General features: G+C 40.5%; 1 protein-coding gene and 1 long non-coding RNA gene across 8 annotated transcripts in view, besides 2 other annotated features; one reads left to right on the top strand and one right to left on the bottom strand.

Moving 5' to 3' along the window:
• FSIP1 (fibrous sheath interacting protein 1) overlaps window positions 1–26,727 on the top strand; it is a 185,402-nt gene that overhangs the window by 141,077 nt on the left and 17,598 nt on the right. For 6 of the 7 annotated variants that reach the window (XM_011521305.4, NM_001324338.2, NM_152597.5 and 3 more), the window contains one exon: window positions 23,520–24,030. In XM_011521305.4, the coding sequence (XP_011519607.1) occupies window positions 23,520–24,030 (511 nt within the window). Of the gene's footprint in view, window positions 1–2,351; window positions 2,705–23,519; window positions 24,031–26,727 lie in introns of those variants that run through there. The other variant, XM_011521309.4, reaches the window with a different exon arrangement.
• On the bottom strand, window positions 1,016–13,337 carry LOC105370785 (uncharacterized). Its single transcript, XR_932156.3, has 3 exons — window positions 13,249–13,337; window positions 12,598–12,858; window positions 1,016–1,190 (listed from the first exon to the last, which is right to left on the bottom strand). It is a non-coding gene; the product is annotated as an uncharacterized LOC105370785 (long non-coding RNA).
• Window positions 17,900–17,989: an enhancer, noted in NCBI's record as "active region_9216". NCBI's record gives its function as "activates an Ori minimal core promoter by ATAC-STARR-seq in GM12878 lymphoblastoid cells {active_cell/tissue: GM12878}" and the evidence as "EXISTENCE:reporter gene assay evidence [ECO:0000049][PMID:35858748]".
• Window positions 23,232–24,431: an enhancer, noted in NCBI's record as "MED14-independent group 3 enhancer chr15:39909535-39910734 (GRCh37/hg19 assembly coordinates)". NCBI's record gives its function as "activates an origin of replication core promoter dependent on BRD2, BRD4, P300/CBP and CDK7 cofactors, and independent of MED14, by STARR-seq in HCT116 cells {active_cell/tissue: HCT116}" and the evidence as "EXISTENCE:reporter gene assay evidence [ECO:0000049][PMID:35650434]".

The raw sequence follows: 26,727 nt of genomic DNA, 5'->3' as shown, positions 1-26,727 counted from the left end.
GCGCGGTTTTGTTATGACATAGGAAGGAGAGCAGATTTTGGCCTTAAATCATGTAAATGGTAAAGTGGCAACCAGAGACTTGAAGCTATGACTCATAGTTCATGCAATGAACCTCTGAAACATTTCATCAGGTAAACCAGGAAAACGACTTTCACTGGAAAGTCAGAACATCAAGTCGGTTTTACATCATTTTTATGCATCATATTTTATTATATTTGTCATAGTGCTTATTTGCTTTCAAATACCATAAACCCTGTTAATTATAGTCAATAAACAGTTTCGAGGATTTTTTTGCTTACTTATACAGCTGGTTACTATGCGATGAGAGGCAAATGACAGGCATCCAGGGAAGTCGTGTGTTTTTACCCATTGGTGAAATTGACGGTCACCAGCCACCCATGTTGATTCTAAAATGAGGGCCTGAACTTTGCTTTTGTGCTCTAGTGGTGGGTAATATGCTGACACCACAGCTCAGATGTAGAGAACAATTTTTGCTTTCCTCTCTCTGGAGAATGACAGGAATTAAAAAAACATTTTTTTTTTCAGTTTGAATTAGGCATAGAAAAATTTTGTATTTGTAATGTGTTAGCTTCCTTATGCATTCCCTTCTATGGCTATTTGAAGCATCTTTGTCTCCAAAGATTTCCAGGTGTCTAATAGATCTTTATATTCAGTAACAAATCATTTCTGTCCATGAGCCTTTTGGGATGTATAAGTTAGTATTCTTTGCAGTATGTTAAAGCAAACTAAATATGGCCTGAGAAGGACTCTGTACTTTTATATTTGAGTGCTTGTGGTGAACTGTAACCTAGCTTAAAGGCAGATGAGATTGAAAACCTAATTTAGTAGTATGCACCTGTAACAATAGCCAAGTCTTGGCCAATCCCAGTGGCCAGAGGCCAGATTTCAACCTTTCATACACTGCTCAATGTTCAAACGATGTTCAAATAAGGCATATACACTGACCTGTAACCAACCGGCAGTTCTGTACTCTCCTTCCAATTTCTGTATGTCATTTCCATTTTTTTTTTTTTTTTGTCTGTAAATCTTCTTCTACCACGTGGTTGCACTGGAGTCTTTGTGAATCTGCTGTGATTCTGGGGGCTGCCCAATTCGCGAATTATTCATTGCTCAAACTCCTTTAAATTTAATTCAGCTGAAGTTCTTCTTTTATCACGTACCCCAGAACTCTGTGGAACAAAAGAAGTTTTCTTTCCGCTGCGACCCGGGGCAAGGCACTCAGAACCTCTGGGAAATTACTCATCAGTGAATTAAGGAGGTTGAATTAGATGGTTCATGTGTAAGGCTTTCTGATTCTGTGACATTACCACAGGTCCCAAACATAATGCAGCCAGATGAGACCTCATTGAATGTTATCAGGATAATGGAGCAAGGAGGAGACCACTAATTATGCCCAGAGAAAATGATGTCTCTGGAGGCTGCTGTGGCTATTCCAGTTGAAGAAATTCTAATAGGTTAAAGATGAGAATTTTCAAGGTGTCATGAACAATGGATAACTGCTTACAGGAATTTCCAGAGATTAAGTGACAATTCTCTGTCTATTTTATGCTTTCATCTCTCCTCTTTTCTCACCTTTCAGCCTCTCCCTGTTAATTGACATTATTTGGGGTCCTAAGCGTGTTTTAGTGTATGTTATGTACATACATGGGGTTAACACAAGTATTCATTTAATTATTGTTTTACACGTTAAGTATTTATTTATTTCATCAACAAATATTTACTGAGCATCTTCTCTTTGCTGGGTACCCTGTTAGGTGCTAGGATTACAATAATACAAAGACAAACTTGGCTCTTGTACAAATGAGACTTACAGTCTAGTGGGAATAAAATACTATATTTGTTGTTTTGAGATGAATTTGAAATGACTAAACTTTTATAACTAAGTTACTCTGCTTATTTGTGGGCTTTCATTTTTTTCCTTTTACAGATTGTTAAGAATTTATATGAAAAAATAGTCCCCGTTCTTCCCTGTTGTACATTTTTGGGTATCCAGAGTGTGCTACTGGATACTCAACCCTTTACAGTATGTTCTTATTTGCATTTGTGATTTTAAACAGTAAAAATGCTCTCCATATACTGCTGTATACTTTATGGTAGAATCCAAAGAACTCTTTGGAAGACAGAAGGTTTCTGAGAGTCACAGGACTCATGAGAAACCCTAGCATATTCACTTGTGTTGCAGAGTTCCTATACAAAATATATTGTATGTAGTTCCTGACTGTAGCCTTTTAAAGAAACATAATTGTGGAGTTTTGTATACCAACTTCGAATCCATTTTCGTTGTTACTGCTTTTATCGCCTTGAACTAAAATTGTTTGTTTCAATTACAGACCAAGCTTGTGGTTTCCTAGATTGCTTTTCACTTGCTGGCAAGGGCTTGCAAAGAAGACCTACAAGAGCCATGTTAAAAACGCTTGAAAAAAAAGGTAGTCAGAGGAACAAGGAAAATGCTGCTTCTGCTTCATCACCTCCAGTGCTCAGTCATTTCTCTTAAATTCCTCTGGACTCCCCACAGGCCTTCTAGCTTTGGCAATGACCACTATCTCTGTAGCCTCAGAAAAAAGCAAAATGGTGAACTTTGGTCTTTGGTGTTAGTTGGGAACCAAGAGAATTCAGTAAATTTTTAACCTCTATGTAAAAGCCATTTGCTCTTTTTTCTCTTTGTTTTCTTTTATTGCTTTTAGTATTACTTCTGATTTCATGATATATCTCCGATATCATAGACTACATTTCAAATCTAAATGTATACCTTTATATTTTTCTTAATATAAAGCACTGGGTCTTAAATAAGTATTAGCTTTTATACTTAGCAATAAGAAAAAAAGGAATTTTGAAGTTTAAAGTTTCTATTGAAATGGAGCAAATTTGCTAGGCAAAACCACCCCCCACCACACACACACATGCACACACACACGCGCACACACACATGCACCCACACACGCACCCACATGTGCATGAAATAGGAAAATAGTATAGTCTCTTTGGTTCCCTGTTTGCCTCCTTGTTATTACCTTCTTTTCCCCTTTCTTCTTTTTCACTCTTCCTTATGGCCCATCTAAGCACATTTTGTTAAGTTATTTGTCTTCTAGATGTTGTCAAAACACACACAGTGAAATGGATGCATATATCCAAATGTTAACAAATGGATAAATTAAAATACTTATATAATACTCTGAAGATTGTAGCAAGAGAGAAGACTACATACCTGCTTAAGATGAGAAATCGCCGTGTGTTTCTATAGCTTCCAGATCCTCTTTTTTAACAAGGAGAAAGAACTTCCCTGCTCCTCACCAATGGCAAAGCGTCTAAAATCACTGAGTACTCACTAATTCCTCTGACCACTCACATATCTCCTGTCATTCTCCTAGAATTGAATTTCTGGTTCTCCAGTGTTGCTCCATTGGCTCTCCTCTTAGTTGCACTTTTTGGAGGGCAGATTGCTTTAACATGCTTTGCTATAATGTACTCTAAACATGCTTAACGGGAAGTGTGAAATCAGGTTATTATAAGAATTTTTCTGTTCTTTGATGCTCAAATCCATTCTAATTGGTAGCAAATGTTCTCTTGTCAGTCCTTGTAGAATTTTAAAATATTCTTGGGAAATCCTAACAGATATTATAAATACTTTTTCTGAATCAGCCTTATTGAGGGCAGAAAAAAGAATGAGGGATCAAGAGTATTATTTCCAGATTCTCTAATTTGCATGGTGAAACTCAAGGGAGTCTTTTCTCTTTACTTGCTTTCTTTTTATTCACTATAAAATATCACTAACTGCCATAGATGCAAAACACCTACAAATAAATGAAACTTTTGCAACATTCTGTTTTTCCCTTAGCATGAAAATTTTCCAACTTTGGCTCACATAAAAATTCATCTTCTTTTTCTGTAATGATGCTTCCCCAAAATACCAAGAAGATACCTACAGGGGTATTTGTCTTTTTTTTTTTCCTGGTTGCCTTACATATGATTTCTCTTCCCTTGTTTGGGAAGTTCCCCAGTTTGTGAATCTTAGCAGGATTCAGAGCTTGCCTCTCATCATTGAATCTAGGAAGTTCCACTATTCAGTATCACAGCCACCTTGGCTACAGGACATGTGCTAGACCTAGCCTATCAGGAATACCCACTCGGTACTAATGGACAGACTACAGAGAATGGGTGATGGTCTACTCAATGTGTACAGTGATGATAGAAACATCAGTTTACTGAAGTGGCAGTGGTGGCAGTTCCAGTAGTCGCATCCTGTCTCTGCTTCTGATGTTGGTGTAGTTAGCTCAGCTAGCTAGCTGAGTGGTCCAGTGGAAGGAGCAGCCTTAAATTCTGTGGCATGATTTTGGTTGTGATTGGGTAGCCTACTGTTGTTCCTGATTGTTTTCCAGTACCTTCCATAGCCTTCTCAATGATTATGTGGGAATATCCACCATCGTTTCAATTAATTCAGTTTCTGCTTAAAGCAGCCAGTCTTAGTTTTGTTATTTCTGTTATTTGCAAGTAAGAACCTAGATTGATAGGGAGTTTGAAACCAGGAATGGTTCCGGGAAATAGAACCACAGAAAAATTGGGGGAAGCTGGGATTGGTTTGTCTGGGTTAGTTGGAGCTGAAGGTAGTGAAAAATCCAGCTGCATAAGGGATAAGACTGACACCCCATAACATTTGGTGGAAAATTAGCAAATAAATCATCTGTGAACTTCTAGAATGAGTTGCTAATTGAAAGAAAACCTTTTGGGAACCAAGCAGGGACTTCCATGCAACAATTGCATAGGAATGAGGACTTGAAAAACTGGGCTGGTGTGATGGCTGCATGTAACGGTGGCAGACAGCTTAAAGAAAGGGAATATAAGCTCAGATTCCTAAATATTCTTACCTAAGGATGGATTGAAAAATAGGGACTTTCTACGAGTACACTAAAAGAATCTCTTTTGTACTATATATAAATATTACAAATTTATTTTGTAACTCTTTCAGGGTTAAAAAGTCAAAAGCCAAATGCAGTAATGCAAGTTGTCAACTAAGGATGTCATTTGAATTCACAGCTAGGTCCCTTATTTTGGTATTTGGTTTGGGTATTTAGAGAAAGAGTGGGACTCTGGGAACTAGAACAGGGGATATGGTAGGATTTGGTGAATTCAGGGCACCCCGAATCCCTAAAGTCCATCAATCCACCCTTGCCAGTTAGAGCAGCCCTGTGACCTTCTCTGATGAGGCTATTCGTGTCTTGATGGAATTTTCTGCCATCTGAAGGAGTTGCATTACAAAGGTAGGTCAGTTCTCCTTCTGCCCTACTCCCAGATGTGTAACTAAACTTAGATCCCAGAATGCCTCAAGACACCAATGACAAAGTCAAAGGTAGGAGGTGATAGCTTATGGTGCTAAAAAGTTGCAAGACTTTCCCAATTGATACTGGAAAATATTCTGGGGGAATATGTATGATAATGGATTTTGAAAGTTTTAGGTCAAATAGAGAAAAATACCACTTTAGATGGCTTGAATTTATTGCTATAAGAGCACTTAACCAGAGGTTCTGAATTCAGTGTACTAGCATAAATAGATGGCATTGATCTATTTATGTTTTCTTGACTGGTTGACCAAAACTGGGACTGTGGCACCAATGAGCTGCTAGAAATTCTGTCACGTACTACTATAAGAGCAAGAAGTCCAAGCACTTAGGGAGATAATATTGTTGGAGGGGATATATCATGGGTATGGAGAGCTGTATTCCAATTGTTTTCCTTGAGAGGGTCCTGATGAGATGCTCTTCAACAAGAGCCTAAGAGATACAGTGAGGAGGGACCAACTGGCTTCATTGGAAAAAAAAAATTTGGCTGTTCTCTGTAGACCTCTGATGCTTGTGAAGTATGGTACCGTTGAAATGGGACTCCCTAATCTTACTAGGGATATTAGGATCCTGGGGTAATAGAGCTTAAGCAGCAGCACCTTACCATCAGAAAGCAAGGTGGGTAGGCAGCATGGCTTCCATAATAGGCAGCAGGATGGGTATTTAATCAGGATGACCAGGAATCTTTGGGAATGGCTACTGATAATGGGATTCCTGTGACTGAAATGCATAGGTGCTTAGCTATGCCACCTGATTTTTACAACCAAAAAACTCTGGGTCTTCTGGCAAATGGAGGCTTGATTTAAGCTATTACAATAGGAAATCATAGCCCCCATCCGATTGTTCCCAGACAGGTCAGTTCATAAGCCCAACATCCCTTACATGGAACTAAGGTCAAGAACTTGCTAGATCCGGCCCTTTGAAAGAGTGTACTTACTAGAGTAATTGGGGAAATGGAAATATGGAGAGATTACTGGAACATGTGTCCTCTTCAGGATAAAGTTTCTAGTAACTCAATACATGCCTTGATCTTTGGTATGCATGTATCTATCTGGCAAATGGATTTTTTTTTTTTTTGAGACAGAGTCTCTCTCTGTCGCCAGGATGGAGTGCAGTGGCATGATCTCAGCTCACTGCAACCTCCGACTCCCTGGTTCAAGCGATTCTCCTGCCTCAGCCTCCCAAGTAGCTGGGATTATAGGCATGCACCACCATGCTCCAGCTAATTTTTGTATTTTTAGTAGAGAGGGGGTTTCACCATGTTGGCCAGGATGGTTTCAATCTTCTGACCTTGTGATCCGCCCGCCTCGGCTTCCCAAAGTGCTGGGATTACAGGCGTGAGCTACCGCACCCAGCCCAAATGCTTTTTTTACTAAAGGCACATAAGCAGAGAATAAACAGTTTGCTTGTACCTCATAGGGGCAGCAGAATAACTTCATTGCCTTGCTTTTAGGCCTCTATCTTCTTTTTGGCTCTGTGTTACCATTTTGTCTGCAAGGTTTCACACAGGGCACCATGTTAGTCCAATATATTGTGACATTGTGCTCATAGGATCCTGGGAGTAAGATACATTAGGTACCACTGATGTCTTGGTGTAAGATGCACATGTACTAGTGGAAAGGAGACATGGCGTCCGCATGACAGTGAAGCTTCATTCTCTATGCCTCACCATTTTCACAGTAATGATCACTGTGTTTTAGATACTTTATTTTGTTCTGAGAAGTAGCTCTAAACAGGCCACATGCTAGTGTGGTGAAGACAATGAAGAAAGGGGAAAATGGTTTGAGAAAGTTGCAGTTCTTGGCCAAAAAATGAAATTGCTGGATAAATCAAAGTAGAAAGTTACATTGACAAATAGGGCTGAGTTATGAAATGTATAATATGCTCTATCCAGGTGTTGCCAGATGAAGAGTGTTCAGCTGTGTTATACAGTGCTGAGAGGTCCAGTAAGATGGAGACTGAGAATGAACAGCTGCTGTAGAAATGTGCAGGGCATTGGTGTGATAGACAAGAGCAGTTTTAACGGAGTGGTGGACTAAACCCTGTTTGGGTTGAGTTTAAGAGACAATAGAAGGAGAGGGATTTGGTGATAGTAAGACCAATTATTTTAAGAAATTTTATTGTAAAGAAAGTAAGAGAAATGCAGTGGTGGGCAGAGAGAGGAACGGGATCAAAAGAGGGCTTTTCCTTAATATTGGAGAATAGCAGCTTTTTGTATACTCATGGGAAAAATCCAGTAGAGAGGGGGAAAGCAGTGACGCAAAAGAGAGTGGGGAGATTGCCAAAGCGATGACCTTGAGTAGGCAAGACAAGGTGGTCTCTTGTGTGCAGGTAGAGGGGACAGCCATCAAGAGGAGCACAGGGAGTCCGTTTAGTGACATGAGGGATGGTGGGGCACTGGGTACAGGTGCTGGTAGATGGGTGGTGGAGCTTGTGGAAGAACTGAGGGCCTATATGTAAGTTTCTGTATCTGCAAATTTGGAGGCTGTGAGAATCTTTAGATCGTTTAGGAATGTTGTTGGTTTACTCTGCTGTTGGAGTTTTTTCACCTATTGTCCAGTGTGTATGACAGCAAAGTCTGGTGTTTCATTTTACATGAAGATGATATAATCAGCGTCTATTACAACATTTTAATATTTAGCACTTAAATATGAACTATAGGTTGAAATAAATTAGAATAATAGTATGTGATGGCTTCAGTTTTGAAACGGAATGTTTAAATCCCTAATGAATCTTCAAATTTATATATTTATTCAATTAACTACGTCTAAAGATTTTCCTCTCCACTGGCTTCACAGTCCATATTGCAAGTTTTAGTGTAGAAGTTAGTTATAATACAGTAATTATACTGTGCATTAATAGGTTCATGGTAATTTATAAATGCAAAATTGATTTTAACGGGTCAGTCATGAAGAAGTCACCTGGCTTAATTAACTGTTGAATTCAGTTAAGAAATGCATTTTACGAATAAAAAAAACTAGATTAAGTTAATTAATTGTTTGGACATTTAAAAAGTATAGCCAGGCCGAGTGCAGTGGCTCACACCTGTAATCCCAGCACTTTGGGAGGCAGAGGCAGGCAGATTGCGAGGTGAGGAGATCGAGACCATCCTGGCCAACATGGTGAAACCCCGTCTCTACTAAAAATACAAAAATTAGCTGGACGCAATGGTGCGTGCCTATAGTCCCAGCTACTTGGGATGCTGAGGTAGGAGAATGGTTGAACCCGGGAGGGGGAGGTTGTAGTGAGCCGAGATCGCACCACTGCACTCCAGCCTGGCGATAGCAAGATTCCATCTCAAAAAAAAAAAAAAAAAAAAGAAGTATAGCCTATGTGGGGAAGATTTTGGACATTAAAAATGATAATTATAGGAGTGAAATTTATGTCTAGCAAAGGGAAGTACAATTCTGAGTCCATATCTCTGTGTTTTCATTTTTATGCTCCTTGTATTTCGACCTATCACCCTTCAATTAATTCTTATTACCCGATTTGAGAGAAATTGTGTTTTTGCCCTGCCTACTTGAAGTTAAAACATTAATTTGAAATTAGATTAAAAGGAAATAAAGGCTGCTCATTATTTTGTCTGACTTCCAAAGACAGTTATTTATTTATTTTTTTTTGAGACAGAGTCTCACTCTGTCACCAGGTTGGAGTGCAGTGGCCGATCTCGGCTCACTGCAACCTCTGACTCCCTGGTTCAAGCGATTCTCCTGCCTCAGACTCCTGAGTAGCTGGGATTACAGGCACACGTCACCATGCCCAGCTAAGTTTTGTATTTTTAGTAGACACAGAGTTGCACCATGTTGACCAGGATGGTCTCGATCTCCTGACCTCGTGATCCACCCTCCTCGGCCTCCCAAAGTGCTGGGATCACAGGCTTGAGCCACCATGCCTGGCCAAGACAGTTATTTCTATATTACAAAATCAGAAGTTGCCGGGCGCAGTGGCTCACGCCTGTAATCCCAGCACTTTGGAGAGGCTGAGGTGGGAGGATTGCTTGAGCTCAGGAGTTCAAGACCAGCTTGGGCAACATGGCAAAACCTCATCTCTACAAAAAAATTAAAAAATTAGCCGGGCATGGTGGTGCGTATCTGTAGTCCCAGCTACTTGGGAGGCTAGGTGGGAGAATAACTTGAGCCCAGCAGGTGGAGATTGTAGTGAGCCAAGATTGAGCCACTGCACTCCAGCCTGGGTGACAGAGTCGGACCCTGTCTCAACAACAACAACAACAAAGAAAATCAGAAGGTATAAAAATTTGAAGATTTAAAACAAATTTTCAGCCAAAATATTTTAGCATATTTAATTAGGTGATGTTTCCGACAACCACCACATTGAACATCTATTGTACTCGTCAGTCTTTATATAATCCATAATTCCATTCTAAATAAGTGACTCAGCACCACCATCTAGTGCAGAGGCCAGAGCTTGTGCTAGCTCATTGGAAATCAAAGGAGAAAATATTAACATGACATGATTAGAAAATGTTCACATGAAAGATGGGGGCTCTTTTTTGGTTTGCTGATTTGAAATATTTATTTAAATAAAGTAAATAAGGAGAGCTTTCCCTGTAAATACTTATGAACAGAAATGGTTTTCTGCCATGTTTGTGAGGCTTTCTATTAATATATATGTACTTGAATAGGTTTCTATAATTAAACCTAACCACAATCAAAGACTGTGATTATTATTCAGTTCTATTTTCACAGCAGACCAAATTAAACCTCTATGTCAGACTTGTAGTGAATATCACAGCAGTAGGCCCAGAATGCAGGCTTTTTATTACGCTTGGGCATTTTTGCAAATCTGAAGCATTTTTTCCATGGTGAGTGGACATGAAGTCTGGGAAGAGGTGTCTTCGTTACTTCGCCTCTGCCTGTAGGTGGGGTGAGTCATTGCCTATACAGGGTGATATGGAGAATACTTTCAGCACCCTTCCTTTCAACCAGTTTGTCTGTCTGTCTGCCCTTGCTGGGATCTGAGGTTTCTCACATTGGGGAGCTCTCCAGGAGTTAAAGCATTGCTATCTGCTGTGCCCAAATCATAAACAAAGGTTCATTAATTGCTTAAACCATTGTCATACAAAGTCATGTGGGGAGTGCGCGCTCTGGAAGGAACAAGACATCGGGGAGAGAAGAGGAGTTGGGCCTAGGATGGGCCATGGCCTAGGACCACTGGTCAGTAAGGGGACAGACTAAGAGCACTGAGTTTTTAGGGGTGCGATGTCACTGCAGAGGGTGGAGGAGCACCCAAAGAAAGCATCATGTAGTCAACAAAGCTTTGCCATGTGTGCATCTTATACCAAGGCTCTGTGCTAGGTATGGGAACACAGAGATGAGGAGGACCTGGTGCCAGCCCGAGGAGCTTACATCCAGCAGGGAAAGTAGATGCAGAGGGTACTGGGATGGCACAGCCTGATGCCCCAGGTTTGGGAGACACAGAGGGCAGCCGCCACCCACTGGTGAGGGATTCTTGTTTATACACTTGCCTCAGATTTATGAGTTGAGAGGGGCTCCCCTTACTAGGCTGCTCTGTGGTATCACATTTTCAGATGCCGGATAGAGTGTGGAGGGGGCATGTTATGGTACCATGCTGCTGCCAGGTGCTCCCCCTCGAAAAAGGAGTTTAACTAACTCTTGTAAGCATCTGTCTGAAGACAATTAGTGTGAAAAGGCCCTAACTTTATAGTCTGGCTTCATTTTTTTTATTAGTTCTGGGCCCTGGACCATTCAATTTCTCTGAGGCTTAGTTTCCTTATCTGTTCAATGTGGAGAATGATTTTCCAATTTTCCCCACTAGGTAGTTGGAAGAGGTAAATGGAATAAATACTGTATGTGGTGCATAGTAGATGGTCCAGGGCTATCAGCCCTGTTCCCTCCATGCCCCACCCCCAGTGCAACTGACTAATGACCTGGGCTGGTCTGGATACCCACCTAATAAGGGACCCGCTGACAGGGAGGGAGGTGGACGGATTCATCTCTTTCTTAAAGTTTCTTGCTCTGTGTGAAAGGGAAACTATTTAAATGTGTCATTTAAGAGAGGGTATGCATCAAGCTATTTAGATTCTTCTGAATTTGGATTCAGTTCACTACACAGCTTTTTTGGTTTGCTCTCTAGATAATTTAACTTTCATAATTTGGATCATAGCACAACTTGGAACTTCTTATTCACAATATAGTATCCTTATTCTCAGCAGTAGCATGATTTCACGTTCAGATTGGCAAATGTAAAAGGACAGTTCACTGAGCAAATATATTAATATGGAGCTTCATGTTTATGTAATGACGTTGGGCTTTGTGTGCTCTACAGAATGTACAGGGGTAATTAGATATTTCAGATACGTGTCTAGACAGGGCAGAGCTTCAGGAGCACTTGCTCAACCCTGGGAAATGCTACAAGTCACCCATTTGTGACCAGAAAAAGCTCTCTGTGATTAACAAGTTAAATGTGGAGTTAACTGTATGGCACTAGATTTATACCCAAGAGGAAAATCAGATCTGATGAAATTTGTCAGGACTGACCATTTGTCGAACCAGACTAGGCCTAACTTTGCCCAGTGTGGCCTGATTTGAGGGTGCTCAAAGTGATATCTTTCAAATATCTTTCTATCATCCAGCTATGGGGCTTGGATTCTATTCTTAGAATCACCTCTTCAGGTTAAGTCATTCTGATTCAACGAGGCTCCTATAAAATGTGAGTTTGTTCCTTGAGAGAGTTGTACATTGACCTAGATTGCTTAGACTCAGGGACAGTAGTGAGGAAGCACACCTCAGGATTTGATGTGAGGGCAACAGGAAATGAGTAAACATTTGAAATAGAGTTTGCTTCCTGAGGAGGGTGTGCGCAGGCAGAGAGGGCTGAGGGGCAGCCTGAGGAGTAAGAGAAAAACTGACTAATGGGGCACGTGCCCCTGTGCGTGGAACATGGGATGAACCTGGCTTAGCTTCAGCCCTGCGCTTGAAGAGACTCACCTGGTGCCCTGACTGGGATTATTTTAACCAAATGTAAAAGTATCTAGAAGCCAGCCCCTTTCTGGTTACTTTGTGGTTACTGCATACAGTACTTTCTGATGCTGAAGACTTAATAGTGTCAGCCTTGAAGTGTAAACCTTCCGAGGGCGATGATAGATGATAGAGAATCACATGCCAATCTTTACCTCTTGGGTGCCCTCTCCCAGCATCTCATGGCCTCTGTAGCACCCCCTCCCCAGCGCCAGGAATCTACAAGAGTACACATGACAGCTTACTCATTGTGAATTGCTAGTTGTGAGATCGTCCATAAAGCTCCATTCCTGGTATCCAAGAGAGATCTTCAAAAGTAGGGGCCAGTTGAACTTGGAAAGTACAGGCTTCAGTGTACAGCTTCCAAGAGAGGCCATCTGGCTGCTGCTGCTGCTGCCAGCTTCCAGACGGAAGCTGAGATTTGCTATTGATGTTCCAGCATTGATTGAGCTCCTGCCTCGTCTGCATCAGGCATGGTCCTCGCAGCTTCACGCAGGTATTTCATGCTATTGCAAATTGTTGCTTGTTAGTATTCCTCCCAACTAGTTGTTTGGAGTCAGCTAGTTGTTAGTATTTTTACTCTACTGACTAGAAATCTGAGACTTTGAAAGGTTAAGTGATTTGCCCAATACCAAACAGCTGGGGAATGAGAGAGCCGGAATCTAAAGTTAGAAATGTCAGCCTCCCCCTGCTAACTTCTGCTGTTGGTAAGGGTATTTCCTCTCCCTCTGGGGCTTTCTATTGCTTTCAGAGAGAGAGTTTGCAAGCTGAAGGAACACTTAACTTGAGAGGCTTTCCCAAATGGAGTATAAAATGCCACGAGGAAATAACTTAAAGATAGGGTGCTGGAGATGCGTCTAAGATGTGAAGGAATGTCACACATGTGCATGGCTCACCTCGCACCTCATTTTGATTCCTCAGTGGCTTTTAGGGTCTTCTCCTGCCTCACTCCTTTTAGCCCCCTGGCCTGGTCTTACACTCTGCCCATCCAGAATGAAAGCAGGCCTCCTACGTCTTCGCAGTGGACATGCATTGGCACTGAACAACATGCCGTGACCTCTTTTATACCTCATGCTTGTCATTCTTTCTGTTTATCTCGACACTCCAACCTAAGCTGTGACCTTGGCTTTCTCTCCCTGGCTCCAATTCATATTCTCCCTCTAGTGGTGCTGCCTCTGGCTGCCCTAGGTAAATCCTAGGCCTCCAAAGGATTTTCTCCTTTGACTCTTGCCTTCTTGGACAGTACTCTGCTGCTCTCGTCCCAGATATGCCAGTAGAAACCACCTATTAATCCATGAGCCCCAAGGATCCTGAAGCATCACTTTGCCTCCTATCTCCTATGGCGTTGACAGTGTTGGCCATAACCCTGCAGTACCTGCACCCAGCCAGTGCCAGCATGTGAGCCTTGTTGACAGTCTGCAGAGGCTGGTTGGAGCTGCTAACCCTGTGCTTCCAGGCCCACGCTGTTTGGTTTGGTTCGAGTTGCCCTTCAGAGCCCTGCCCAGCCCTGACTTGGAAGCTGTTGCTTATTGTGTCTTAGTGTGGAGCAGTGGGGCCTGAGGCAAAAGTATATTGCTGCTGCTTCATTAGTGAAAGCATCACCAGAGAAACAGAAGTGGGGAACAAGAGAAGTGAAGCAAAGAAAGAGAGTAAATATAAGAGCTGTATCATTGACCTGACTACTGCTTGCTAGCAAGTACAGCTGATTGATCTTGTGGGACATATGCAGAGAGATGCCATGTGGGTGACTTGTGGGACACATGCAGAGAGATGCCATGTGGGTGACTTGTGGGACATATGCAGAGAGATACCATGTGGGTGACTTGTGGGACATATGCAGAGAGCTGCCATGTGGGTGACTGCACTTCAGGGAGTCTTTCTGGGGGAAAGTAACTCCTTCACTGCCTTCCCTCTCCCCTTGGTCAAAGTCTGCCCCAAGGGGCATGAATTCTCTTGCACTTCTGGTTTGTACAAGCCTAGAAGTGGCCAGCTGATCATCCCACACCTTATTAGCAACTCACACCTCATCAGCAATAGACAAGAAATCCTGGGAAGGAGCCAAGAGGGGCTTGCTGTACCCATGGGTGACTTGAGGGGCCATGGCAGTGGCATCAGAAGTGACATCCAGGTCTACACCTGTGAGAGCAGCACAGGCCATGTTAGATCTGCTCAGCCTGGCAGCAGGCAAGTGCTCAGCCCGGCAGCAGGCAAGTGCACAGGTCTGGATGATGGGTAATCTGAATCCAGTCACGTTGAGCAGTGTAATGTCAGTGCAGCCTGGCCGTTTGACTTGTGTATGCTGCTGGGAAACTTCTTGGGCATGTAAGGAAATACTCAGTTTTCTTTTCCAGTTCCCAGGGTTGAGCATCTTTTTGAGGGGTCTCTCTTATATGGGTGGGGCCTAGCTGAGTGTTCTCTGTGATTGGGGTGAGGGGGGAAGGGTCCAGATAGTGCTACACTAGTGAGATGCTTCTCACAATAAGAGGCAGAGGAGCTGCTGGTGATCGTGGCACTGATCAAGTATTAAGGGCTCATGTCTCTGGAAAGCAGAAGTCCTGGTACCTGAAGCCTTGTCTAACTGTATTCATCCATTTTCACACTGCTGTAAAAATACTACGTAATTTATAAAGAAAAGAGGTTTAATTGACTCCCAGTTCCGAATGGCTGGGGAGGCCTTAGGAAACTTAGGATCATGGCGGAAGGCAGAGGCACATCTTACATGGCAGCAGGCAAGAGAGAGAGCACACGGGGGAAACTGTCACTTTTAAAACCATCAGATCTTGTGAGAACTTTCTCACTATCACAAGAACAGCATGGGGGAAACCACCCCTGTGTTCCAATCACCTCCCACTAGATCCCTCCCTCAGCACATGAGGATTACAATTTGAGATAAGATTTGGGTGGGGACACAGAGCCAAACCATATCGCTGACCTACGGGCAGACTGTGCAAGGCCAGGTACTACCTTCCAGGCCATGCCACATCTCCACCTTCTTTCAGCACCAGTACAAGGTGGAGGGTTTTGGATACACTCCCCTGACCTGGCCTTAAATGAACCCCTGTTTGGGAAGATCCTTTACAGACACAGCACCTCCATCTTCAGGCCAGCTCAACACAGAAGACACATGTTGAAGATCCCAGAGACAGAGTTCTGAGGATACCTTCTCTTCAATTGTGAAGTTTAGATGATATCAAGCAAAGTATTTAAAGTTCTAGAGACTCCTGTGGGCATACATAAGTTCTTTAGGTTTCATTTATACCAGATTTCTCCAATGTGACTCATCTATCAGCTGATTTCCTGCAAGAGGGTGAGGTTTAATCTGGATCCATTGGAGGTTAAGGTATTTAAATAGCTAATGGCCTCCTTGACTACTGACCCCATCACAACCTTCCTTGACCCAACTTATCTCTACACAGTAAAAATAGGCATCATCAAACTGAGAGTACAGAAGGCCTTCACCCATGCAAATGATACTCATAACTAATAATAGCCAATAAACAGTCTTGCCAAGCAGTGGGAGCTAGCTGCTCTAAAGTAACAAACTGGATCTACTTCCCGGAGTAGGGGGTGGAGTAGGTTCCAGTTCCCTCGGAGCATGAGAACTACTCAATCAGGGGCCCCTTTTTAGGCTCTTTATGCAAATCTGTGCACCTCATCTCCTGGCCAGGCTTTTTTAGCTGGGAGTTTGGGGCAGAGGTGCCAGGCCCCCTCCAGCTGTAGAGCTGGGCCCCAGACTTGTTTCGGGAAAGGAAGTGATAGACATGTGATAACAGGGCCATTCCGGCGACTTGCTCAGAACAAAGGGCATCTGATCCAAGTGGACTTGCTGTCTCTACTGCTAGAAAACAGCTACTGTTGGCAATCCTCAAATGGTAATTGTCCCACAAAATGAAAACATAAGAGTCCATTTTCACCAGTCACCCTGTTAGAAAGCAAAGTCACCCTGTTAGAAAGCACAGTCTGGCTCTCCTGCCGAGCACCTCCACACTTTTCTGCTTATGTCCCCGGCAAGCCATGTTTCTAGCCCTTTTTCAAATAGTAGGACTTGAGAATCCTACCTCCTGCTTCTAGCTCCCTCGATCCATGCTCATCCCTAACTTACACACTGGGGTCCCGCTGGCAGCCCACCTCTCTCATTCTGGTACATAGAAACAGAAAGCTTGGATCCTTGAAGCCATGGAGCCAGCCCGGGCACCTGGGCCACGGGAGACGAGCCATCACAGAATGCCCAGGGCCACAGCAGCCTCTCACCAGGCAAACCCATAAGGCAAGCCCTGCCTCACCCGGCTGTTTGGGGAAGATGGGTAGCCTAGGCATGGGTGGGGTCTGATTCTGCACGGTGACTTTGCCATGCCAGGCCCCACATAAAAAGGGCTTCCCACACCACCACAACGTTCATGACCTCGCTTCAGAGCTGTTTGCCGTGACCTACTTCACACTCAGTATTATTCTGTCCACTGAGCCTCCTGGCTGCTGACCTGGGAGCTGACTCACTTTCCTGTTTACAGCCTTGCCTCAACCCTCACTCTTGATGGTGGTTTACATAGTTTCTCTGGCAATGATATTTGCTTCCTTTTTGACTAGAGTTCAGATTCTCTTCTGGCCAGACAGCCTCTGACTATTCTGGTGAAAAATATGCCAGATTGTCCCTGGCCCCCAGGACCCTTTGTCCTTGGTTTGGCTTCTTAAGAGCAGTCTACCTGCCGGACTTGCCTTTATATGATTGGGGTAGCCTCAGTGTAAGAGAGGAAGGTGGGAGAATGGAAAAGGGAGGGAAGGAGCTAGGAGAGGAAGGAAGAACAAGCCCTTTTCTCCTATGAATCCTTAGCGCCATTGATACAGACATTAAAATGAACACCAATTATTTTTCCCCCTTGATTTTTAGATGTGTTTAATCCAAAAGAGCTATAGCAAGTGATGTGAGCCTATTGTGAGCATTCAGACTCGATAGTGCTGTTCTGTAGCCTAACTGGAGTGCCTTTATTTTTCTATGCACAGGTAGGTATTTTCTGACAACTAGTTCTACATTTATATCTCAAATAACTCTTCAGTGAGTACCCAGATTTAATGAGATCAGTGAAGTTTGGAAACACTTCCATCATTAATCTTGTAGTTGACTATAGAACTAAATTAAGTGGCAGGTTCCTTCTGATGGTTACGTACTTCATAGTAATTATAGTTCAAAAATATGATATTTTTGAATCCCTGTTCTGTTGATACCTTCTTGTTTGGGAAATCACCTTACCCACAGCCCTGCCAAAACCTTGGGCTTGGATGGTTGTGTTTCTACCATGTGACCCTCAGTTCAGATGTTTGGACCAGTGGTGGACACTTGAACCTGACACAGGCAGTCCATCAACCTGGCCAGTGACCAACCAGGTTATCTTGCTTGAAAATTTAAGCAAAAGAATATAGAGAGCTAAAGGACATAGTCAGTTGTTGGTGGGTGTGATACTCTTACAGAGTCAGTTCATGCTACATAGGCAAGCTGAGGTTGTGAGAAAGCAGAAACCATCAATAAGCAGAGAAAGCTGGTTTGCAGAGAAGAGGATGCATCAGGCAGGCAGTGAGTGAAGAGATGACATGGACCCAGAAAGACAGATGGGGCACATGACTGGTGCCTGGTGGTTTCTCAGCTCTAGACTCTGAAAGGCCAGTCTATACTCTTATTTCCTGCTTGTCGTTGTCCATGAAATGACTTCTTTGATCTTACAGCAAACCTCAACCCTACCACCTCTTTTTTTGACATAAGGGTTTCTGTTCCTTATAGCCAAAAAACCTTGACTAAAATAGACTACTACGGAGGTGTTGCCAGTAGTGGTTGCAATAGAGAGCTATAAACTTATATCTTCGTCATTAAGCAAACGGTGGAATGTTTTTTAGTTGCTTATTTGGAAGTAGAACTAGGTGTCATTAAAATCTGTGTACATCCATATTCTCCTTGTTAATCATTTAGAACATTCTAGCTTTCCACCCTTTTCTCACTTGTGATAATGGTATTGGTTTCATAGGGTGGGTCTTTAGGAGTGCTGTTTGGGGGAAATAAAAAACACCCGAAGTAAGCTTACATCAAAGGACAAGATTGCTTCTGCTGGTTTATAATGGGTAGACTTTCTGATTATCTGCACCAGGGACATAATCTTGATTGCCTTGTCAAGAAATCCATTGCCCAATTAACTGGAGATTTTTATGGCTGGAGAAACTCCGGATATATAGCATAGGAGGTGGGGCAGGGATGAGAGTGAGGTAATCCACAGTCTGTGTTCCATCTCCAGCAATTACAAGTTGCATTCCTCATCAAATTTAGCTTCTACATCAAACTGGCATTTATCTGGGTGGAGATGTGTAAACAGTGGGTATCCTGGGAATGGAGCTGTGGCTGGGTTTTTTTTTTTAATGAGCTAAAAGAGAGGGCACTATATATGTTTGCATAAAACATACACTGTGTACATTTGCATAAAACGTACACACAAAAGCCAATCTGGGCAATAAAGTCCCAAGTTAAGTAAACTGTTCTGCGGGGAGAGTTTCTGTATCTGATAGAATGGACAGAAAAATGAGCAGCAGTTGGGAAAAGGACACTTGGAGGGTGGTAGAGGGAGAACTCATTTACAGCGAGTGGCAGTGTAGCCATGTGGCTAGACACTTAGGTTCTGGACCCAGACTACCTGGATTCAAATTTCAAGTCCACGGTTTAGAAGCTATATGACCTTGGAGAGGTTACTTCATTTCTTAGTGCTTCAGTTTCTTCATCTGCAAAGTGGAAATAACAATAGTTTCTACCTAATAGGTTTATTGCAAAATTAAAGGAATCAATACATGTATTATGCCTAGAGCAGAGTCTAGTCTGCTTAGTGAATGCTACCTATTTATTATTATTCTGTAAGACATAACCTAGTGTGCCAACCAGATGCAAGATGCAGCAGAACTAAAACTGCATGTGTATTCTATTCTTTTCCTGATGAAAAATCCAATAGATTTACTCTTTTACTATGAAATGTGTGTGTATTGGCTGAAACGAGAAAGAAGATTCATAAAAGAGCTACTAAAATGAAGGTGGGAAGAGAGGGGCTTTCATATACAGAGTGAAAAGAGATTGGGTTCTGGCCTGGAAAAATGAGGACTGAGATGCACTATGTTGAGTTTTATGAAGGATAGGAATAGTATGAATAATAACTTGTTTATGGAATACTGGGAAATTAGAGCTGGCACGAAAGATGAATACTTTGAGGTGAATACTTGAACAGATGGTTACTTGACAGTGCCTGCACAGTGAGTGGTTCAGTTATGGTGCTTATTAGCTCAGAATTTTTGAGAGCAATCTGGAAAAAGGCTGTGGGTTAGATGATTCCTTAACTATTGAGGGCAGTTAGGGATGTTTGTGATGGAGCCCTAGTTTAGTTCAGTTCAGTATTTGTAAATAAATTATATCAATATAGTGCCTTAAAAAATGGTTTAAGCACTCTAATCATTCAATTCTCATGATAGTCATTGACTGAGCTTTGACTGTGGGCAAGACTCTGCTGGGAATCAAAAGATGAGAAAGATGGGTCGTGTTGAAGTTTCCAATCTGTATTGCACCCAGAAGCAAATTAAATTAATTTGAGGGCTTAATGTATTTCATTTGCTCTTACTTATATTTTGAGGCCAGAGAATTTTTAGTTATTTTATAAGAGTTCGGGATTGATATTGTGAAGGAGCTAAATAAATAAAAGTTCTCTTTTTGCTATTATTTTGTTTTCATAACTCTACCCAGGCTACACTCTAAAGTGAGTAGAAAAGTTTATTTTAAAATTTATTTTTATTTTTAGTGTAGTTGTTCATAAAAAGCAATTTTAGAGTTAGAATTTAATGTAGAGATTATCTTCTAAAGTTCCTCATTTTACAGATAAAGGAGATGAGCCCCTGAGAACTCAGGTGACATGCTCAAGGCAGCAAAGCTTGGATAGAAGCCCAGGTTCTAGTCTTCTGTGTTTTCTTTCCTATCCAGCTGCTTCCCCCAGGAGGATCAGGGTAATTGTAGTCCAGCTTATTTCTGTGTACACACAAGCTGAAATGTGTAATGTTTTATCTCATAGTGCCCAGAAGCAATTTACCATGAAGCCAGTGAAGATTCAGCTCAGGGCCTCTCACTTATAGGAGCTTTGGGGTGGGAAGAGGAAGCCAGGTTGCAATCAGCAAACATTTCTGTAAGCACGTCTGGTCAATGACCTAAAGAGATACTGTAAGAAATGGACTCAACCCTCCCCAAGACCCCAGTAATTTGTTGTGATCTTTTTCACATTCTAAAATAAAAGAAACTCGCTTTTGTACCTAATTTTGAATTTGTAATTTTGTATTTTTTTTTTTTTTTTTTAAGAAATGCCCTTCTCTTGCTTCAAGATTATATAAATTTCTGGCTCTGTGAAACATGGGTCAGCTTCTGATGTCCAAACATACAATCACCTGGGAATTTCATTTAAATATTTTAAATTTTATTTCTAAGTGCATTTTTATTAAAAAATTTGGGCTGGGCATGGTGGCTCACGCCTGTAATCTTAACAATTTGGGAGGCCGAGGTGGGTGGATCACTTGAGGTCAGAAGTTCAAGACCAGCCTGACCAACATGGTAAAACCCTGTCTCCACTAAAAATATAAATATATATATATATATATTAGCCAGGTGTGGTGGTGGGTGCCTATAATTCCAGCTACCGGGGAGGCTGAGACACGAGACTCGCTTGAACCCAGGAAGCAGAGGTTGCAGTGAGCCACGATTGCGCCACTGCACTCCAGCCTGCGCGACAGAGCAAGACTCCATGTCAAAAAAAAAAGAATACATTTAAATTACTTTTATTTTTATATTTAATTTTAACTTTTGTTATAGTAATAAAGAAAAAATTGTGTTAAAATGTTTTAAATAAAAATGGCAGCCCCTTGCCTCAGCCTTCCCTACCCCTTGATATTTTCTCCAGTTAACTGCTTTTAAATCTTTTGTGTTTTTCCTAATTTTACCTCTATATTATTTATTAATAACTTACTTTCTTAATTGATTAGTTTTAGACATTATATATTGGGTTGCTGTAATGGTAGGCAATAATTTAACTAATAAAGTGCAAACACCCCTTGTTTCTCGTCACATTTCCCCAAAATAGTTAAGTCACAATTTTTGCTTACCTTAGTCATCAGTATTTATATTATCATTGACTGTGTAAATATTATTCACAGCAGAAGCAATTATTAGCCTATGGCATCCTTTCTCATGTAACTTTTTGTTTGTCCTAGACTTCATAATTATCTTAGTTTCTTTTGCCTAATTTTCTGTGTATATGTCACTGCTTTTCCTTTTTTTTGTAAAACTTTTTGTTTTCCCCAGAGTTCATAATTGCTTTGATTTTCCTTCTGCTTCATTTTCTGTGTATTTAGCCAAATACATCATCAGAACTGCCAAACATCTATCATATCAATATTACTTTTGGAAATGGTCAAGCATATTGGATAATCTACCAATCCTCCCTCCTACCCTTTTTTCCCTAGAGACCTCCTCCTGCTCTAATATGGACTGATTTTTTTTCTAGTGTCTAAAAATTTCATCATAATAAGGCTTTGATGAGGATGTTTGGTAAGGATGACACTCAGCGGGCTCTTTCTAAATCGTAGGGAATTGTCTACACATTATATGTAATTTTACATAAGCAAAGTTTGAAAGTGTGTTTTAGGTATCTAATGTCATAGAAGGACTTCCTTCATTTTCTACTTGACTAGGTTTCCATAGTAGGGTGGAGATAATGCTCCTGATTCTGGATACAGATGGATAAAATACTATATCTGGATTCCTGAAATGCCTAGTGACTAAAAGTAGAATTTGCTAATACATAATTCTAATCCTATTTCTTGCCATATATATTAACCTTAGGGTCAGTCACCTGAATTTTGAATTCCAAATCTCAAATCCTATTTCTTGACATGTATATTAACCTTAGGGTCAGTCACCTGAATTTTGAATTCCAAATAATTACTAAGAATATATTTCCAGACAATTTCTTATTATCCTCATACTCATAGTGACACTTGCCACTGTAAAAACTAGTTTTAATATAGGTAAGTTAAACATAATTTTAAACAATATTTTTTAAACATGGCACAAAATTGTTTTACATATTAGTATTTATTAGTTGCATTAGAAGCTTTACCTAATAGTGGAGAATTAACTATACTAGTATCAGTAATAGCTTTTTATTTCAGTACTTTACATATGCAGAATATTTAGTTATTTTTTACTATGTACCTTCAGAGTAGGCCAATAACATTATTTTACTTTGCTGAAGTAGAAATTAAAGTCATTGAAATTCATGATTAAGTTTTCTTATGGGGACTTCTTGTTCTCAGATAATTCATCCCCCTGTAAAGGAGGATTAGTCTTTTCCTAGATAATCCACATGTAAACCATGGAAGACACTGATTTTTTGGGGAAGTAGACATTTTTTTTTCAGTGTGTTTCACTATATTTTAATCTCATTCCTTTTTGAGATTGTTGCAACTCAAATGTTATGGTATTCAGCTGAAGTCTTGTGGGACATGGCTCTCTACTTTCATTTGATTTTTAAAAATTTATTTCCTGAGAATATTGCTGAAAGAAAAAAAATGTTTTTAAATATTTAAGGTCTTGGTTGAAACACTTAGCCCTGGTAACCTTTACAAGCAGAGATTAAGTATGCATGATCAAATCATTCTCCCCAAATACACCGCCTCTGGAATGCCCCTGGCCTCTGCCTAGACCTGTAGCTTTGCAGCAACGACACATTGCAGGATGCACCACCCTTCACCCTTCCTTTTCTGTCTTCAGCAGTATTGTCCACTGATAGTTGTGGACAGACATGGGAGTGCTGAATCCCCAGAGGTAGGGGTAGTCTGCCTTGTATGCCAATTTTTTTCCCAGTAAGGAATTGGATGGTGGTGGGATTCATGCTGAGGGATGGGTGGGGTCAGAGAAACACCAACCAAAGATTTTGCCAGGATTATGACATTTCCCCTACAGTTTTGGATACTTTACAATGAATTATTTTTCTATTTTTATGTGTTGTGTAAGGGGTTACTTGCATTTATATTTGTATTACTGGATGCCTACCAAAAATAAATGTGTTTACTCAGTCAACTGACTATGTAATCTTTTGGTTTGTTTCATCAGTTAGAGTCCACATCATGTCTCTCTGAAGAACAGTTAAAGTGTCTTCTGGATGAATGCATACTTAAACAAAAATCCATCATTAAACTTTCTTCAGAAAGAAAAAAGGAAGACATTGAGGACGTAACACCTGTGTTCCCCCAGCTTTCCAGGTCCATCATCTCTAAATTGCTAAATGAATCAGAAACAAAGGTCCAGAAAACTGAGGTAGAAGATGCAGATATGCTTGAGAGTGAAGAATGTGAAGCTTCTAAAGGCTACTATCTCACTAAAGCCTTGACTGGACATAACATGTCAGAAGCTCTTGTCACTGAAGCAGAGAATATGAAATGCCTTCAATTTTCCAAGGACGTTATTATTAGTGACACAAAAGACTATTTTATGTCGAAGACTCTTGGCATTGGGAGACTGAAAAGGCCCTCCTTCTTAGATGATCCACTGTATGGTATCAGTGTGAGCCTTTCATCAGAAGACCAACATCTGAAACTCAGTTCTCCAGAGAATACAATAGCAGGTGAGGCTTGGCGAACATGTGTTTTGGTAAATAATTCTTAAAAGCACCTCAATATAAAGGTATTATGGTTTAAATTAGAGTCGGGTAAGAAGGTATGTTTGTAAGTCACAGGTAGCGTCAATAAGAGTATGCAAACATAAAACCTATTTCCCAATGCTCTTATGAAATCAAAGTTGAGGTTAGTACTCTATGAAATACGTTATTCTTGATGGTAATTAATTGTGTCATCCAGAAAATAATGTTGGTTTCACAGGAAAAGAGAAATTAGTTTGAATGGAGAGAAATACTTTGAATAGATTTGCTTAGTATTTCAACTTCAAACTTTAGTATTTTCAAACTTTAGTGATGAAAATTTGTTCTAAGGAATGAATTTAAAATGTAAAACTTGTAACTCATTGTGGTTATATTAGTTTCTGTATGCAAACCTCCTCTCCTGAGCCACTCCTATGTTCTCAGGTGTTTCGTCACGATCTAGTGTTTCATCTTGCAATGGTCATGGTACAGGATACAACAATAACTAGTTTTCGACACAAACAAATATTCAATTATTTATGTTAGAAATCTGTGTAACAATTGGTGAATCTATTTAAATAGATTCAATTTTTACCTCTATTGTAGATTACTCTAAAATATATTGGCTATTACATTTCTATCTATTAATCTATTCCTTATTAAATCTATAATCCATTAACTCTGAACTGAGTCAGATTTCGGTTTTGACTTCCATTTCCTTAGTCACCCAGGAGCAAAATCTGAGTCATCACTGAATTACTTCTCTTTCTTGCTTCCCACTTCCAGTGTTCAGGTGTTGTTTGTTCTATTCCTGCGGTGTCTCTCATGCCCATCCCTTCCTTTCTCTTCCTACAACTTCAACTGGACCAATGCCATAACCCTTCTCCCAGACCTCCCTGCCTCAAGTCTCTCTTCTCTTCCTACCATTGTTGACAACCACTAAACGAATTTCCTTAAAGCACAGCTTTGATAACCACACTTCCTTCTATGGCTCTCCAATGCCTGTTGATCAAAATCAGAATTCCTTAACTTGTTCAGTGTCTCCATGATCTGACCTGAAGTTCTTTTCCTAATCAATCTCTAAGTAGTCACCTAAATGTTATTCAGTGTGTAGCTAATCTGGTCTAATGATTTCGGTGATTTCCTAGCTTCTGCTGTTGTTCAGGCCCTCTTCTTCCCAGAAATGTTCAGGTACCCCTTCAATGGTATTTGAATTCCAACCTTATCCTCTCTGATTGTAGCCTTCCCTGGTCCCCTCTGTTAAGTTTTCTGTCTTCTGTGAATGTCCAAGCACTTTGGTTTCCTATAGGATCACATACACACTCACCTTCTCTTCCTTAAAACTGCATAACATTTTTAAAAACAGAGACTCTATCTTGCAATTCATTGTTACATTTTCCATGGTGTCTAAAGTGCTGCCTTAAGCCAAGTGCCTGTTTAATAAATAAAAGAATTTAAATGTATAACCAGTTTTAGAATAAAACACTGAAAATATGGTTCACATTTATTCTTTACATTACCAATGAAAGTAGGTAATGTTGCTTAAGAATTATGTAAGTCACACATTCTATATAAATATTTGGATTTTTTGTTTCTTACATGAAATTTCGCAAGCTGTAATTTTTAAATTAATATTTTTTAGATTGGCATAATTATATACATTTGTGGGGTAAAGTATGATGATTTGATGTATGTATACAATGTGAGATGAGTAAATTAAGCTAATTTACATTATCTATCACCTCACTTACCATTTTTTTGTGGTAAGACACTTGAAATTTACTCTTAGTTATTTTGAAACATACAATATGTGATTAATGACTGTAGTTACCCTGCTGTGCAATTCATCTCAAAATTTATTCTTCCTAAGTGAAAACTGGTACCCTTTAGCCAACAACTCTCCATTCCCTTTTTCCCCCTCTTCATCCCCCAGCCACTGGTAACTGCCATTCTACTCTCCACTTCCATGAGTTTGACTTTTTTTTTTTTTTTTTGTATTTTTAGTAGAGATGGAGTTTCACTGTGTTAGCCAGGATGGTCTTGATCTCACCTCTTGATCTGCCCACCTCGGCCTCCCAAAGTACTGGGATTACAGGCGTGAGCCACCACACCCAGTCTCTTTCATCTTTTGATAATAGTTGTTATAACAGGTGTGATGTAGCATCTCGTTTTGATTTTAATTTACATTTTCTTAATGATTAATGATGCTAAGTATTTTTTCATGAACCTGTTGGCCATTTTTATGTCTTCTTTTGGGAAATGTCTGTTCAGGTCTTTTGCCTATTTTTTAATTTTTTTTTTTTTTTTTGCTATTGAGTTGTTTGAGTTCCTTATATATTTTGGATATTAACCCCTTATCAGATGTGTAGTTTGAAAATATTTTCTCCTACTTCACAGATTGTCTCTTTACTTTGTTCATTGTTTTCTTTGCTGTGCAGACACTTTTTGGTTTGATATAATCACATTTGTCTATTTTTGCCTGTGCCTTCAAGGTCGTATTAAAAAAAAGTCACTGCTCAGACCAATGTCATGGAGCATTTCCCCTGTTTTATTCTAGTAGTTTTACAGTTTTGGGTCTTATATTTGTGTCTTTAATCCATTTTGAGTTGATTTTTATACATGGAGTGAGATAAGGATCAAATTTTATTATTCTGCATATGGATATTCAGTTTTCCCAACACCATT

This window comes from Homo sapiens, chromosome 15 (genome assembly GCF_000001405.40).
Source record: "Homo sapiens chromosome 15, GRCh38.p14 Primary Assembly".
Classification (NCBI taxonomy): Eukaryota; Metazoa; Chordata; class Mammalia; order Primates; family Hominidae; genus Homo; species Homo sapiens.
The sequence above is the reverse complement of the archived record's forward strand: the minus strand, read 5'-3'. Positions and strand labels throughout refer to the sequence as shown.